Raw genomic sequence first — 15,084 nt, 5'->3', positions numbered from 1 at the left:
TTAGTTACTTTTTGAATAATATGTGAAGATTAGGTTGAAGTTCATGTCCAAGAATTCAAACACCATTTGTTGAAATGACTATCCCTTTCCAATTGAGTTGTCATTGCATCTTTGTCAAAAATCAGTTGGCCATCTTTGTGTGGGTCTATTTCAGAACTCTCTATTTTGTCATTGGTTTATGTCTCTATAACTTTGTCAGTACCACATTATCTTAATTACTGTAGTTACAGTAAGTCTTAAAATCAGGTAATACAATTCCTCCAACTTTATTCTTTTTTAAAACTGTTTTAATGATTTGGTTACTTTGCTTTTCCATCTAAATTTTAGATTTAGTTTGTCCATATTTGTAAAAAACCCACTAGGATTTTAATAAGAATTATATTAAACCTGTAAATCAATTTGAGAATTGACACCTTTACTATATTGACATCTTTACTATATTGAGTCTTAGCAATCCATGAACATGGCATGCCTCTCCATTTATTTACATCTTAATTGATTTCTTTCAGGTTTTGTAGTTTTTAGCATACAGATGCTGTACATGTTTTGTTAGATATATACTTAACTCTATCTTCTGTCCTTCTTTCCTTTCTTTTCCTAGCAATGATAAACAGTATTGTGTTTTAAATTTCAGTTTCCCATTGTCCACTGATAGTTTATGGAAATATATTGATTTTTGCATTCTGACCTTGTATCGTGTGGCTTTGCTAAATCCATTTATTAGTTCTAAGAGGTTTTTTTGGTAGATTTCTTGGAATTTTTTACATAGACAGTCAAGTCGTCTGAAAATAAGGACAAGCCCCGCCCCACCCCTTTCCAATCTGTATGCCTTTTTTTTTTCTTGCCTTATTGCACTGGCTAGGACTTCCAGTCCTATGTTGAATAGGAATGGTGAAAACAGAAATTCTTGCCTAGTTCCCAATCTTAGGGGAAAGCATTTAGCCTTTATCATTAAGTTTAATGGTAGTTATAGGTACATAACATCACTTTTAATGACTGCTTAGTACTCTGAAATATTCAGTCCATGTTCTTTCGGGCATTTAGGTTGTTTCCTATTTTTTGCTATTATAAGCAATGTTTCAATAAATGTCCATATGGAAAAATCTTTATGCACATCGTAATTACCCTCCAAGTGCCCACACTCTCTGTTTTCCCCTTTTTACTAAGGATGAATGATCTCATCCAAGGCCTATGGTCCTCTGGTTTCTATCCCATATCACCTGTAACTATCTCCTCTCCTTTCCTCACTATCAGTTTCTCTCCAACTCCTGGATCATTTGCATGAGCATCCAAACAAGCTCTAGCATATACTATTAAACAAATATTCCTTCCTTATTTCCACATCATCTTGCAGCTGCTGCTCCTCTCTGTTTCCCTTCATGAAACTTCTTGAGTTTTTCTTTGTCACATTCTCTACTTCCTCACTTCACATTATATCCTCAACCCACTCTAATTAGCCTTTGTTCTCACCTCTCCATGGAGAATATGCTTGTCAAGGTCAGCAATGACCCTTATGTTGCCAATCCAATGGTCACTTCTTGGTTCTTATTTTAGTTGTCACTGACTCTTGGAACACTTTCTTCATGTTACTTCCTGACATCACACTCTAATTTCCTTGTAACTCACTGGCTGCTCCAGAACACATCTACTAATTTATCCTCCCACCAGCCATGGCATCAGGATTGTGCTAGATTAGTAAAATAAACTTAGAATTTTTTTTATTTGTTTCTATCCTACAGAACAGTTTAAATAGCAGAAATATTTTCAATTCATTGGAGATTTAACATGCCTCTAAACTGCCTGGGCCAGCATATTTTTAAAGAGGTGATTCTTAATGTAATCTATTTATTTCACTGCTATTGACACTTGAGATTTTGTTTTCTTTTACCCAATTTGTCCTTGCTTGTTGGATAGTGACTTAAAACATGGACTATTGGCTTAGAAGTTTTTTATGTTGAAGGGTTCTTTCTTTCCATTCTAGTTTATTCTATTTTAGTTAGGCGTAGAGAATTATGTAGTTAAGGAGAATGAGGATGTTTGCAATGTTCATCAATGACTGTCTCACACAGGCTTTGGGATTAAGGGAAATAAAAGGAACTTTGAAGCAACTCAGCCTTTTAGCAACAAAACTGCCCTCAATTACCAGGGAAAATTAGCCCTGAATCCAAGCACTAGTTTTAAAACTCTTGAAGCTGCAAACCTGTTTGGATAAGCAATGCATAATCGAACTTTTCTTATTCCTTAAAAAATATATAAATGTATAGGGACAAACATGAATTTGAGCCCAAACCATGATCCAAACCATGGACGTTGAACTTGTAAAGTTCTGGAGAAAATGAGGCAACTGTTTGGGAACCACTCAAGAGGAAGAATTTACCAGGATGGCTTTGAAGAGTCATTGTTGGGAGAATTTCCCAGTGTGGTCAATTGGGAGGAACCTCCATAGACTTCTGCTGACACTCCATCCTCCTGGCAGAACTAGGGAAGAACAGGCTTGCCATTTACACTCATGACCCAGTTCAATGGTTGCTGTCTTCCAGGGACTTCCTTGCCTACTCTCAATCCCATATGTCCACATTTGCTGCTGGCTGTGGATGCAGGAATAGCCAAGGGAGAGGGAGATGCTACACTAAGGGTGTCGGTGCTGTAGGGAGGCTAGCCCCAAAGGGCTCATTGTGCTAAGTTTACAGATGAGAAAACTGAGGCTCAGATAAGTTAAAAGACTGCTGGAATTTTACCCTGAGTTAAAACCAAGTCCAGAATCATTACAACGTGGGTCTTGAATCTGAAGATGCCTTACTGACTACCCCCAAAAAGAGAAATTTGCATGTGTGGCAGTTTTCAGGAGCTGGGGATTGGAGGCTCAGGGGATGTGTATAATCCAGGCACTACTTCCCCTAGTGGCCAGTGGGAACATTTCCAGCAAGACTAAACCATTTCGGCTGGGGTCCCAAAATTAGGGAGATGAGGAAGATTAGGGGCACTAACCAATGTGTCATGAGTAGTAGTAGGTGTGTTAGTCACTGACCAAGGCATGAGTTGATTCCTAAAAAGGGGAAATAAATTTATGGCTTAGAATTTCTATTTAAGAATGTTTTAGGGATAGTCTTCTGGCGGGAGGGGCTAGATGTGCCATTTTATTTAGATGGTGTGTTTCCTGGGGTGGCTGAGGGTATGGGAAGATGGGATTTTTGATGGTCTGACTTTCCGCAAGTGTCCCCTGGTGTTTCCGTTGCTTGGTGTTGATTGTTGGGGTGTAGAGCAATTGATTGTCCCTAAACATTTTTGAGGATGCCTGGGTGTGGAGGACAGTGCTGTTTGTGGACTTTTGGCTGCCCACCTCTCTGCTTTGGTCTGCTTAAACCATTGATTTTCAAACAAGACTATGCTCTAGAATCACTGGGACAAGTTGAAAAATAAAGATTTGCAGGCTCTACTCCTGACCACCTGTAGCCTCTTTCTCCAAGGGGTGCTAAGCCCAGAGACCTGATGTTTGTTGTTTTTTGGGTAAAAATGGTTTTATTGAGGTGACACTGACATATTACATACAATAAATACATATTAAAATTGCCTAACTTGATATGTTTTGAAACTATCACAATCAATCACAATGACTACAATATTGATCACCCCTCACCCTCCCCAACATCCTTGTGCCTTTCGAAATATGTCCTTCCTGCCCCATCCCAAACTCTGGTGATGACTGATTTGCTCTGACACTATAGATTCATTTGCATTTCCTAGAAGCTTATAGGATGGAATCACACAGTAGGCATTCTTCTTAGTCTGGCTTCTTGCACTGAACGTAATTGTTTTGAGAATCACCCATGTTGTTGGCCGGGCACGGTGATTCACGCCTGTAATCCCAGCACTTTGGGAGGCTGAGGCGGGTGGATCACCTGAGGTCAGGAGTTCTAGACCAGCCTGGCCAACATGGTGAAACCCTGTCTCTACTAAAAATACAAAAATTAGCCGGGCATGGTGGCGGGCACCTGTAATCCCAGGTACTCGGGGTGACCAAGGCAGGAGAATCGCTTGAATCTGGGAGGCGGAGTTTGCAGTGAGCCGAGATCGCTCCATTGCACTCCAGCCTGGGGGACAAGAGCGAGACTTCGTCTCAAAAAAAAAAGAAAAAAAAAAGAGTCACCCATGTTGTTGTGTGCACAACATTCCTTTCTTTTTCTTTTTCTTTGTGTGTGTGTGTGTGTGTGTGTGTGTGTGTGTGTGTGTGTTAGGGGGGCGGTTTGGAGTCTTGCTCTGTGGCCCAGCCTGGAGTGCAGTGGCGCAGTCTCAGCTAACTGCAACCTCTGCCTCCCAGGTTCCAGCAATTCTCCTGCCTCAGCCCCTCCTAGAAGCTGGGATTACAGGCATGGGCTACCACACCCAGCTGATTTTTGTATTTTTGTATTTTTAGTAGAGACGGGGTTTCACCATGTTGGCCAGGCTGGTCTCAAACTCCTGGCCTCAGGTGATCCGCCTGCCTCAGCCTCTCAAAGTGCTGGGATTACAGGCGTGAGCCACTGCGCCCAGCCCTTTTTTTTTTTCTCCTGAGACAGGGTCTCACTCTTGTTGCCCAGGCTGGGTGAGCTGAGATTGCATCACTCCAGCCTCGACCTCCTGGGCTCAAGTGATCCTCCTGCCTCAGCCTCCCGAGTAGCTGGGATTACAGGCCTGCGTCACCACACCTGGCTTTTCTTTTTTTTTTTTTTGTAGAGATGGGATTTCTTCATGCTGCTCAGGCTGGTCTCCAGCTCCTGGGCTCAGATGATCTGCCCACCTCGGCCTCCCAAAGTGCTGAAATTACAGGCGTGTAATCTCATCATGCCCGGCCAGTGCATTCCTTTTTACTCCTGAGTAATATTTCTTGGAGTGTCTGTACTACAAATTATTTATTCATTCAGCTGTTGGTGGACATTTGGGTCGCTTCCACTCGGGTGCTATTACAAACAAAGCAATTATGAGCAGTCAGGTTCAAATCTTTGTATAGACAGATGTTTTTGTTTTTCTTGAGTAAATACCTAGGAGTAGAATGGCTGGGTCAGATGACAGGTGTATGTTTAAAATTTTATGAAACTCCAAACTATTTTCCAAAGGAAGGGGGTCATACCATTTTATATTTCTACCAACAATGAATGAGGAACTCAGCCCTCCTAGGGCCCAGTCTGGCGACTGTGACCGTATTCCAGAGGCTTTATAATCCTGTTTTTTTCCTGTGAGCAAAAAAGTTATAAAGGAATGAGATCTAGAAAAGATAGTTCTAGTTGAACCAAAATCTTTTATCCAGGGTGAGGGCATACAAACTGCAAGGGGCCTGGGTGGGGGAGGCAGAGAAGCGCCCGCCTCTTCCGACCTCTCAGGTGCGTGTGAGCCGATGCTCCGCTAGGGGGCGCGGGAGAGCAGGCCGCCCCCCGCGTGACTCTCAGAGCCCGAGGGCTCCCTCCAGGTCCGCTGCCTTCTGCCCACAGGAAGGAGTCACTTTCCCAACTGGCGGGGAGCGGGGGAGTCACTTTCCCAACTGGCGCGGGCGGGTTGGGAGGGGCCGCTGAGCCGCATCTGCCACAGTCACGAAGCTTTCTTAGCACCTCCTGGAGTTCAAGGAAAATCCAGAAGCAGCTCTTTCCTTGAAGGAAGACGTTCACAGCATCGCACCCACGAAGAGGGTGCGGCTTCCCCCTCTCACCCTTCTGGGTCTCGGCCGATCGCCTGGCAGTTGGGCTCGTGGCCCATCCTGCAGGAGGGCGCAGGCATGCATAGCGCCTGCGGAGGAGCGCTGCTCCTACGCCCCAGGCACGGCCCCCGCAGGCCGGGCAGTGACCCCGGTGGCCCGGCCCTTAGGGCGTGCGAGTTGACCGTGCCCCTTCTCCAGGACGCGCGGCCGGCGGCTGGGTTTTCGAACGCGCGGCTGTGAACGGCTCCTTGGCGAGGAGGCACAGCCTCCGCAGGCCGGAAGCCACGCGCCCACCAAAGGCACGAGGAGCAGGGCGGAGAGTACTGCGGGTCAGACGAGCGAGGCCCTCGGGGAGGCGCCCAGAGGAGCGGGGCAGCGCGGCCGCAGCGCGGGTCGGGTCCGCGGACGCTGTTCAGGCCCCACTGTGGGGCTGCTGCCCCTGGGCTGCCCTCCGGCTCGGTGGAGCGCGGGAGTGGGGGTGGGGGCGCCTCTGCTGCTTCCACCCCAGAAACCCGGGTCAGCGTTGGGAGCTGCACTGGGCGGCAGCGGAGAACATTAGAAGGGACAGTGTTTGGGTTAAAATCTAACCCTCGGTCGGGCGTGGTGGCTGAAGCCTATCCAACCACTTTGGGAGGCCGAAGCGGGAGGATCACGAGGTCAAGAAATCGAGACCAGCCCGGCCAACATGGTGAAACCTCATCTCTATTAAAAATACAAAAATTAGCCAGGCGTGGTGGTGAGCGCCTGTAGTCCCAGCTACTCGGGAGGCTGAGGCAGGAGACCCGCTTGAACCCAGGAGGTGGAGGTTGCAGTGAGCCAAGATCGAGCCACTGCACTCCAGCCTGGCGACAGAGCGAGACTCTGTCAAAAAAAAAAAAAAAAATCTATCCCTCATGATCTTGCTTTCTGTGCGTGTGTCTTTGCGTCAGGGGCAGGGAAAGCCTGTAGAGCACACATTGCCTAGTGAGGTCTTTACAACACAGGCTTTAATTATTTTCCTCCTTTCGCAGCTGAGAACAGAGAATTTAAGCAACTTGCCCAGAGTTCCAGAGCCAGACCTTAAAGGTAGGGCTTGTGACTCCGCATTAGGAACGTTCTCCTCCCCTGGATGGACCCGATGCCCCCGCACTAATAATCTTGAGCCGGAATTCAGCAACGCAGTGGTGACATTCAACCTTCCGCCTCACGGAGGCGGTGCCGGCGGGGCAGGGGATGGCCGCCAGGGGGCAGTGTGGCTCCGTGCCTCCGCGCCCGCTCCCGGACCCGCGCCCTGCCCCCACCGGCGCTGAGCCCGCCGGCGCTGAGCCCTCCAGCCCTGCTCCGCGTTCTTAGCAGCGTCGCCAGGCGTGGAAGAGGTTGGACTCAGGGCTACGTCTTCCAGTAGTTAAAAAACGGGGGGCCGAGGCCCCCACAGTTAAAGTGGGCGAGAGAGCAGCTTCCAGCATCTATGGCGATGATGGCCTTTTTTTGCCCAGATGCAACCAGGTCTGCCAGTCGGCCAGCTCGCACGGAGGGGCCCACCTCCAGCCCTGGCCTCAAGAGGGACCAGGCACAAACCTTACCTTGACAATGTTTCCAGCAACACTTCGCTGGGACAACTAGTCAGTGTGGTCAACCAGGCTAGGACAACTAGTCAGTGTGGTCACCCTTGTGGCCGTTCTTACGGGGAATTTGGTTATTATGGGGAACTTGGTGAGACTTGGGTGTAAGCCAGTAGTTGCATTAGTTGTTTTTGTAGCTTATCTTGTTTTAGTAGCAGTGATAGTGAGATTTTGCTTGTTTTTTTTTTTTTTTTTTTTTTTTCTTCTGGACTGATCCAAACGGAATGCTGAAGTTCTGTCTCCATCCGGAAGACCTGGGCTGTGGCCTCCCGGCGTCTCTGGGCAGGGGCATCTGCAGGTCCCCACTCTGGTGGGCACCCTGCTGCGAGTCTGCTCATACCCAGGGTGGATGCACCAGCTGCAGCTTTCAGCTGAAAAGAAACACGCTCTGCTCTGGCTTATGTCTGGCTGAGCTCTGGAAGGGCGGGCCCCTCTCAGCGAGCTGGGGGGCCCGCGTAGACGAAGATGACCCGCAGGCCTTATCAGCACTTATCTTTCAGTAAAGCCTGAGAGGCCAGCTTTGTGTCTGGGACCCTGGGAGCTCAGGAGGGCAGCTCGGCTTTTGTTCCTTGTTCTTCTCCAGCTGTTGGGAACTTTGCTGACAGCAAGAATCTACTCCATGGATTCACAGCACAGGCTATGACCAGAGACATATTTTTGTCCTAAAACATTTTTTTTTCTGATTATAAAGTTAATGGCCATTTTTCTTTTCTAACTTTTTATTTTGAAATAATTTGAAGCTTCTAAAAGCAGTTTAAAAATTATGCAAAGAGTTCACATGCACCCTTCACCCACATTGATGCCCTATAAATGCCTTGGTTTATATTTCCCCTCAAAATAACCACAGGCTTGTGACTGAATCAGGAAATTAACATTGATATAGTTGTGTTATCCTCCACAGACCCTCATCATATTTCCCCGAGGCCCATGAATGGGCCTTTGCTGAATCACACCTTGGGTTAGTTATTGCGTCTCTTTAGTCTCCTCTAATCTGGAACACTTTCTCAGATTTTCTTCATTTTTTCATGACTTGGACAATTTTTGAGCATATGGACCAGTTATCTTGTAGGAAGTCCCTGAACTTGGGCTTGTCTGACGTTCCCTCAGGATCAGACTGTTCGGAATCCCAGGGGCGGTGCTGGGTTCTTCCTGGTGCACCCCCCACCCCTGCCTCTGCCAGGGAGCAGCCGTTCCTGGAGATGTCACCTTTATCACTTGGTTAGGTGATGTCTGCTGTGTTCTCCACTGTAAAGTGATTATACCTTGTGGGGGGATACTTGCAGACTTTGTGATTATCTTATTTCTGAAACATTTTAGAGAATTTGAAAAGTATAGTCAAGAAGGGCAAAGAATCCCTCCTGGCTCCCCGCCTGCAGATAAGCACTGTCTCCATGCTGACTCCGTGCTCTTCTTCTTTTCCCTGGAGTCTCTGCTCTCTTTGGGATCCTCTAACCCTGCTGGAAGGACGTGTTCCTGTGGCTGATAAGCCTCACGCGACCTCTCCCATCCCCTGTCCCATTCCTCTGGGGGTGCTGTGGAGATTCTGTCTGAAACAGAGGTGTGATTCTAATAGAATTTTTAGGTCTAGCCCAGGGAGGAGGGAGAAGTTTTAAGTGGAGCCTTTTAGCTCCTCCAGAATTCAACATCCTGGGGCCTCCTTCCAGGAGGACAAGGGGAAAATTAAGGCAGCCACCCAGAAGGTCCGGGCTCTAGTCACTTGGGAACTAAGGAAGGGTCTGGGGTTGACCTTGTGCTCACAAAGGCCACCAGGGAGCTCAGTGCCTCCTGCCCATCCTCCTGGACAAGCCTGAGAGGAAGGAGGGAAGGTAAGTGCTAAGGAGCCCCATCCCATGGGAACTCAGGGAAACTCGCCTCTCAGAATTATCTAACCCAAGAGGCAAGGGAGCTGGGGTATGTATACACCAAGTCTTAAGAGTAGTTGATTCAGGGCTGCTAGTGGAGGTGCTCAGTGTGTGTCAGTTCCTCAGGCCTTCCTGCCACCTGCAGGCATATGGTGAGAGTGACCTCTGAGGTTCTGGGGGAAAGCTCTCAGGCCAGAGGTGCAGAAATGGCCGAGGGAACCCAGAGTTCTGGGGTACAGGTGGGACACTGAACATAGTCCATGGACCCTAACTCAAGTGCTGGTGACCCAAGTGCTGTACGAGTGAAAGCAATGGAGGACTTATGAGCTGGATCTCATGGGGTCATGGAGATGGTTACTGAAGTCGAAAATGGTTATTTACAAGAGTCTCAAGATCTTGAAGCAGGTGATAACAGCAGGTGAAGCAGATGAAAATGGTTTTTAATCACCATTAGCCAAACTGGCCAGATGAGCAGGAAATGCTTTCCTGTGGATGGAATGGACTGCAGACGGATTAATTTTGAGGGCACCCTCCAGATCCTGTCTGGAGAATAGGCTGAGTGGGCTCTGTAACACATGGAGGTGAGCTGGTTATCCAGAGCATAGTGGAAGGGTCATGGCAGCGGGGAAGGTACAGAGTGCAGTCAGCTTCTTTCATGAGGCAGAGGAGGGTGAAAACAGCCGCGGAAAGAGAAGCAGAAGATCAACCACACTGCATCCTCTGCTTTTCCAGGAACTTTAAATTCCAGGGAATTATGCCATCTGTCAGTCGGAGGTGTGAGCCTGCACACTGGTGACAATCCCCTCTTCTAATGCTGTTCTCCTTTTGGCTAAAATGTTCTTAGATCTCAGCGTGGTCAGATACGGTCCACAGGGCTCCCCTGTAATAAAGTCCATACGCTTCAAACTAAAGCCTGGTACCCTGACTTGGTTTCTGCCGCTTCCCACTCATGATGCCTTTTTCCTTGTGTGCTTTATTTTTCACAGGGTCACTCCCTAGCCTTAGAAGGTTATTTGTGGGGTCTCTCTGAGGCTTGGAGTGAGGGGGTGTTCTTGGAGAACATCTGCACTTACCTCTGCCCCGGGAGGCCACTATCCACCTGCAGTGCTTTTAACGAAATTCACAGCTTGATGTTTCGTATGTTTGGCTGCTAACACAGAGAGGGCTGCTATGCGGGTGCAGCTTTTGCCTCCCCCTGCTCTGCTCAGCACTGTAGCTTCTCTTTGCAGTGCCTTGGGGAAGGGGTGGGGCAGCCTTGTGGGTCACACTATTCTATTAGGTTTCCCACCTTGGGTGGTCCCGAAGTATTGAAGTATTGTCTTCTTCCCCAGTGCTCTGGGAAGCTGTAAAAACCAGAGCTCAAATGTGCTGACTTCAGCAAATGCCTTCAGGGCTAAAGAGCTACAAATCACAGCTATCTCTTTGGGGGTCTGGCTTCATGTAGGTTTGGCCTGATAATGATCAGTTTTTGGTGCAGGTAAACTTTTTCTTCCTTAGCATTTTTGGTGGTTTTCAGTGGGAAGGTTGGTTTAAGCACTAGACAGCCATGGTACTGAAAGTTCCAGCAACTCCTCCCTGAGCCCTCCATGCCCATCCCCTCTTACCCCAGGCTCATGCACTCTGCCAGTCATGTGGGCATTGGCGATGAGGCAGACTATGTTGCCGTAAGTGGTTTTGCCTTCCACTCTCCATCTCGTTGCTTCTCATGGCCACCATGGATCCCTAAGTGCCCAGCGGTTTGGGGTGAGCCATGAGCTGCTGGCGTTTTGTATGGTGGTTGTAGTGGGAAAAACAAGAGCTTTCTTTTATTTCTAACCCCTACCCTGAGATGTTTGAAGTGGTGGTTTGAGAACAGAGGATCGTCTGCTCTAGGGATTTTAGGCAAAGCTCAAGAAAGACAATGTTCTTTTCCTAGGGCAGGAACCAGATGCTAAACAAAGGACTTTGTACCCCACAGTTTTAAACAGAGATCCTATGAAGCATCTTCCTTTCAGTCCAGCTTGAAACCAAATTTAAAGGACATGTTCAGCCCATCCTTCAAAAGGATTTCCTTTATCAGTACTGTTATGTGCCTGTCACTCATTCCTAGAGCCACTGGACTATGAGGAGTCCTTTAGAGCAGTGGTCCCCAACCTTTTTGGCAACAGGGACTGGTTTTGTGGAAAAAGGCGGGGCAGGGGTGGGGGGAGAAGGGGGAGAATGGTTTGGGGATGCAACTGTCCCACTTCAGATCATCAGGCATTAGATTCTCTTATGGAGTGTGCAACCTACATCCCTCACATGCACAGTTCACAAGAGGGTTCATGCCCTTATTCATGAGAATCTAATGCCGCTGCTGATCTGACAGGAGGCTGAACTCAGGTGGGGATGCTCATTCGCCCACCACTCACCTCCTGCTTTGTGGCCTGATTCCTAACAGGCCATGGACTGGTACCCGTCTTCGCCCTGGGGTTTGGGGACCCCTGATTTAGAGCGTGTATGTGCTCACTCTTATCATCGTCCATGGTTAGACAAATTCTTTAGATTGTGTGGATGCTGAGCAAGATTTAGGACTGAGAAATGTCTTCCCACTTAACTGATTGATTTTTGAAAAATTCATCTCACTTCTCTTTAAACTGAGAGTAGTCATGCTTACCTCACTGCATTGTTGTAGGCATTTAATGTGATAGAGAATGCGAAAGGGCTTTGTGAGATGCAGCCTGACACAGTCTCCATCTAGCCTGGCTTCATGTCTGCATATATTAAAGATCTGCTGGGCCGGGTGCAGTGGCTCACACCTCTAATCCCAGCACTTTGGGAAACCCAGGCAGGAGGCTCACTTGAGCCCTAATGTTTGAGACTAGCTTGGGCAACGTGAAGAAACCCCATCTCTACAAGAAAATTTAGGAAATTAGTTGGGCTTGACAGTGCATGCCTGTAGTTCCAGCTCCTCAGAAGGCTGAGGCAGGAGGATCTGTTGAGCCCAAGAGACGAAAGCTGCAGTGAGCTACGATGGTGTCACTGCACTCCAGCCTGGGCCACAGAGTGAGACCCTGTCTCCGAAAAAAAAAAAAAAAAAAAAAGATCTGCTGTGTTAGATTCTCTGTTCCAAGTTCAGTGTATTCAATGTTGGGACATGGCTTTCTATTTCCGGAGGCAGCTTAGCCCCATATGTTTTAAGGCCCCGTAGTGTGTCATGGGTATGTCTCCTTTAGCATCTTCAAACCATATGAGGTTTGACAGTATAGTTTCTCAAAAGGGTAATTTAGATTTCAGGAAAAAGCATAGACAATAAGAAGATAGATGTATAGCATTTTAAATTTGATTTATATAGTATTTGGATATTAACTCAGTTGATTCTCATATTAGTGCTGAGTAGCGGGCAGGGTAAGTATATCTTCATCTTACAAGGAAGGAAACCAAAATTCAGAGAAAACCAGAGATTCACATAAAAGTGAAAAGCTGGGCCTGTAACACTACTCAAGTCTTATGCACTGCCCAGGAGACACTGCTGGGGTCACAGGCGAAATGCCACCCTGTGTTAGCCCAGAGGTCCAGCATCTTGTTTCTGACAAGGGTATTCAATATTCTCTGACGAAAGAGTGTGGCAATTTTCTCCCACCATATTAGCCGGGAAAGCTCAGTGACCTTTCACGACAGTCCTGTGGCGTCCACTGCCGGACCCCCAGTGTCTGTGAGGGTGGAGTTGAGGATATGTGCCTTTCAGGACATGGGATCCCCTCGTGAAAAAGCCCAACGTGTCAGCAGCCATCCTGTTGAGCACTAGCAGAGGCTGGATAATGGAAGCTGATTTTTTTTGAGATGGAGTCTCACTTTGTCACCCAGGCTGGAGTGCAATGGCGTGATCTTGGCTCACCGCAACCTCCGCCTCCTGGGTTCAAGTGATTCTCCTGCCTCAGCCTCCCGAGGAGCTGGGATTACAGGCATGCACCACCACACCTGGCTAATTTTTGTATTTTTAGTACAGATGGTGTTTCACCATGTTGGCCAGGCTGGTCTCAAACTCCTGACATCAGGTGATCCACCTGCCTTGGCCTCCAAAGTGCTGGGATTACAAGCGTGAGCCACCGCAATGGCCTGAAGCTGATTTTTTGATGCACCCATTGAGCATGTAGGACTGAGTATGTGACAGCATGTGCTCTTGTATCGGCTCCTTTTTTGGCCCCAGTTTACCTTGGCCCTTTCCTTTTCTTTCCCACATGATTCTAATATGCTCTATATGACTGCATTTTATGTAACCTAACAAAGCAAAAGGCTCTGGAGACAAGTTCCCAACTAATAAGTAAAGGAATGAATCCAGGAATAAGTAAATCAATAAATAGAGTTAGAGTACATGTGCAAACTATAGGTGCTAAAAGAATTGGAGAACAAAAAGTTTATTATAGGCTGAACCAGTCATTGAGTACTCCATGGAGATAGTGGGATTTGAGGTTGAATTAAATGGGAGGGATACTGAGGGAAGAAAAGCAACGTGAGCTTTCAGAAGGCAGCTGGGATTGAGAATGGCGCTGGCTGCAGATGAAGCCTTCTGAGTGAATGGGAAAGATGTAGGCAGGCAAGTGGGGCTAATTGGTGGAGGAAAGCCAATGTGGAGAACTCGAATCAGATTCAAAAACAAAGAAGGCCTCTTACATGCGGAGGGGCCACGTGGGTTTGTTTCCTATCCCTTCAAAAGCTCACCAGGATGACAATAAAGGAAATACAAAGGTAAACCCACAAGGGCCAACATAGCTGTAGAAGAGAGACTGTAGGACAACCCTGAAAGATAGAGAGACGCTGAAGAAGTAGTAATGGACAGAACAGGCCAAAAATGTCCATCTTGAATGTCAGCAGAGGGGACACAAGTGAGAAGGAGCTTCCTTATCCCCTAGAACCTGTCAGGTCTCAAAGGCACCAGGTGCCATGCTCAGTGAAGCCAAAAACCAAGGGGTTGATAAAGGTCTGGATGAAGTTGCCCATTCACCCAGGCAACTGCCACCCTCTTCCCTCAGGAGGCTGGAGAGTTATCTGGTGAGAAATTCAGCTCTTCTGCTCTGGACTAGGGGCCATCAGACAGCGCAGTGCAGAAGAGAGGTCAGATGCAGGGTTAAAAATGGGGGGATATGGGGAACGTCTTCATATTGAATGGTGAGGTCTCCAGCTTTCTTACCTTTCTTTGCTCTCAGAACATGGGAAGGCAGTCACACACCAGTGGCCCCGCCCTCCTGCAGGCACGGGACTGAAGGACGCTTCCCTTAAGAAACGAAATGGACCCAGAGAGGAGACCTCCTGACACTGACCTGTTAGGGACCTCCATCAGGACGCTTGTCACCTGAGGACTCTGAAGGGACTCTCACACACTAAGAAGCTCTGCCAACCCCTCAAAGCTTTCATTCAGACTTTTAACACTTAAGTCTTAAATATGAGCAAATAGCCCCAGATTATCAGACATTAAAGAGCAACACTCACATGACAGAGACAGAATGAGGTGATCGTAGAGGAAAGAGAAAATGCATAGAACACACAAAAACTTAAAAAAAACCACCTCTCAGAGATAAAGTAAAATAATGCATCCATATATCAAGTATAAGACCCTTTAAAAATAAACAATCTGACAATAAGAAGAGCTTTTGAAACTTAAAGAAAAAAAGCAAAATAAAAAAAGTCAAGTTGAAGTAGAAAACAAAGGGAATGTTCCAAAGGAGGAACAAAAAGGCAGAGATGGACAAGAAGAACATAAATGTAAGAAGCTTAAGAGGACCAATCAAGGATATCTAACAATGATGAACCCAAAAATGAAGCCAGAGAAAGGAGAAGAAATAAAAAAGAAAAAGGCACTTTATCAGAACGTACGCAGGATATCTAGATCTGCACTGTTCAAGATGGTAGCCACTAGCTACCATGGTTAACTAAGTTGAAATGAGAATTAATTGAGATTAAATGAAATGAAAATTTCATTCCTCAGTTGTGCTAG

General features: G+C 47.2%; 2 annotated features.

Moving 5' to 3' along the window:
• Positions 6,779 to 6,988: a silencer, noted in NCBI's record as "silent region_20076". NCBI's record gives its function as "represses an Ori minimal core promoter by ATAC-STARR-seq in GM12878 lymphoblastoid cells {active_cell/tissue: GM12878}" and the evidence as "EXISTENCE:reporter gene assay evidence [ECO:0000049][PMID:35858748]".
• Positions 6,999 to 7,218: an enhancer, noted in NCBI's record as "active region_28650". NCBI's record gives its function as "activates an Ori minimal core promoter by ATAC-STARR-seq in GM12878 lymphoblastoid cells {active_cell/tissue: GM12878}" and the evidence as "EXISTENCE:reporter gene assay evidence [ECO:0000049][PMID:35858748]".

Source organism: Homo sapiens, chromosome 9 (assembly GCF_000001405.40).
Source record: "Homo sapiens chromosome 9, GRCh38.p14 Primary Assembly".
NCBI classification, from domain to species: Eukaryota; Metazoa; Chordata; class Mammalia; order Primates; family Hominidae; genus Homo; species Homo sapiens.
This window is presented reverse-complemented; position numbering and strand designations above follow the sequence as displayed.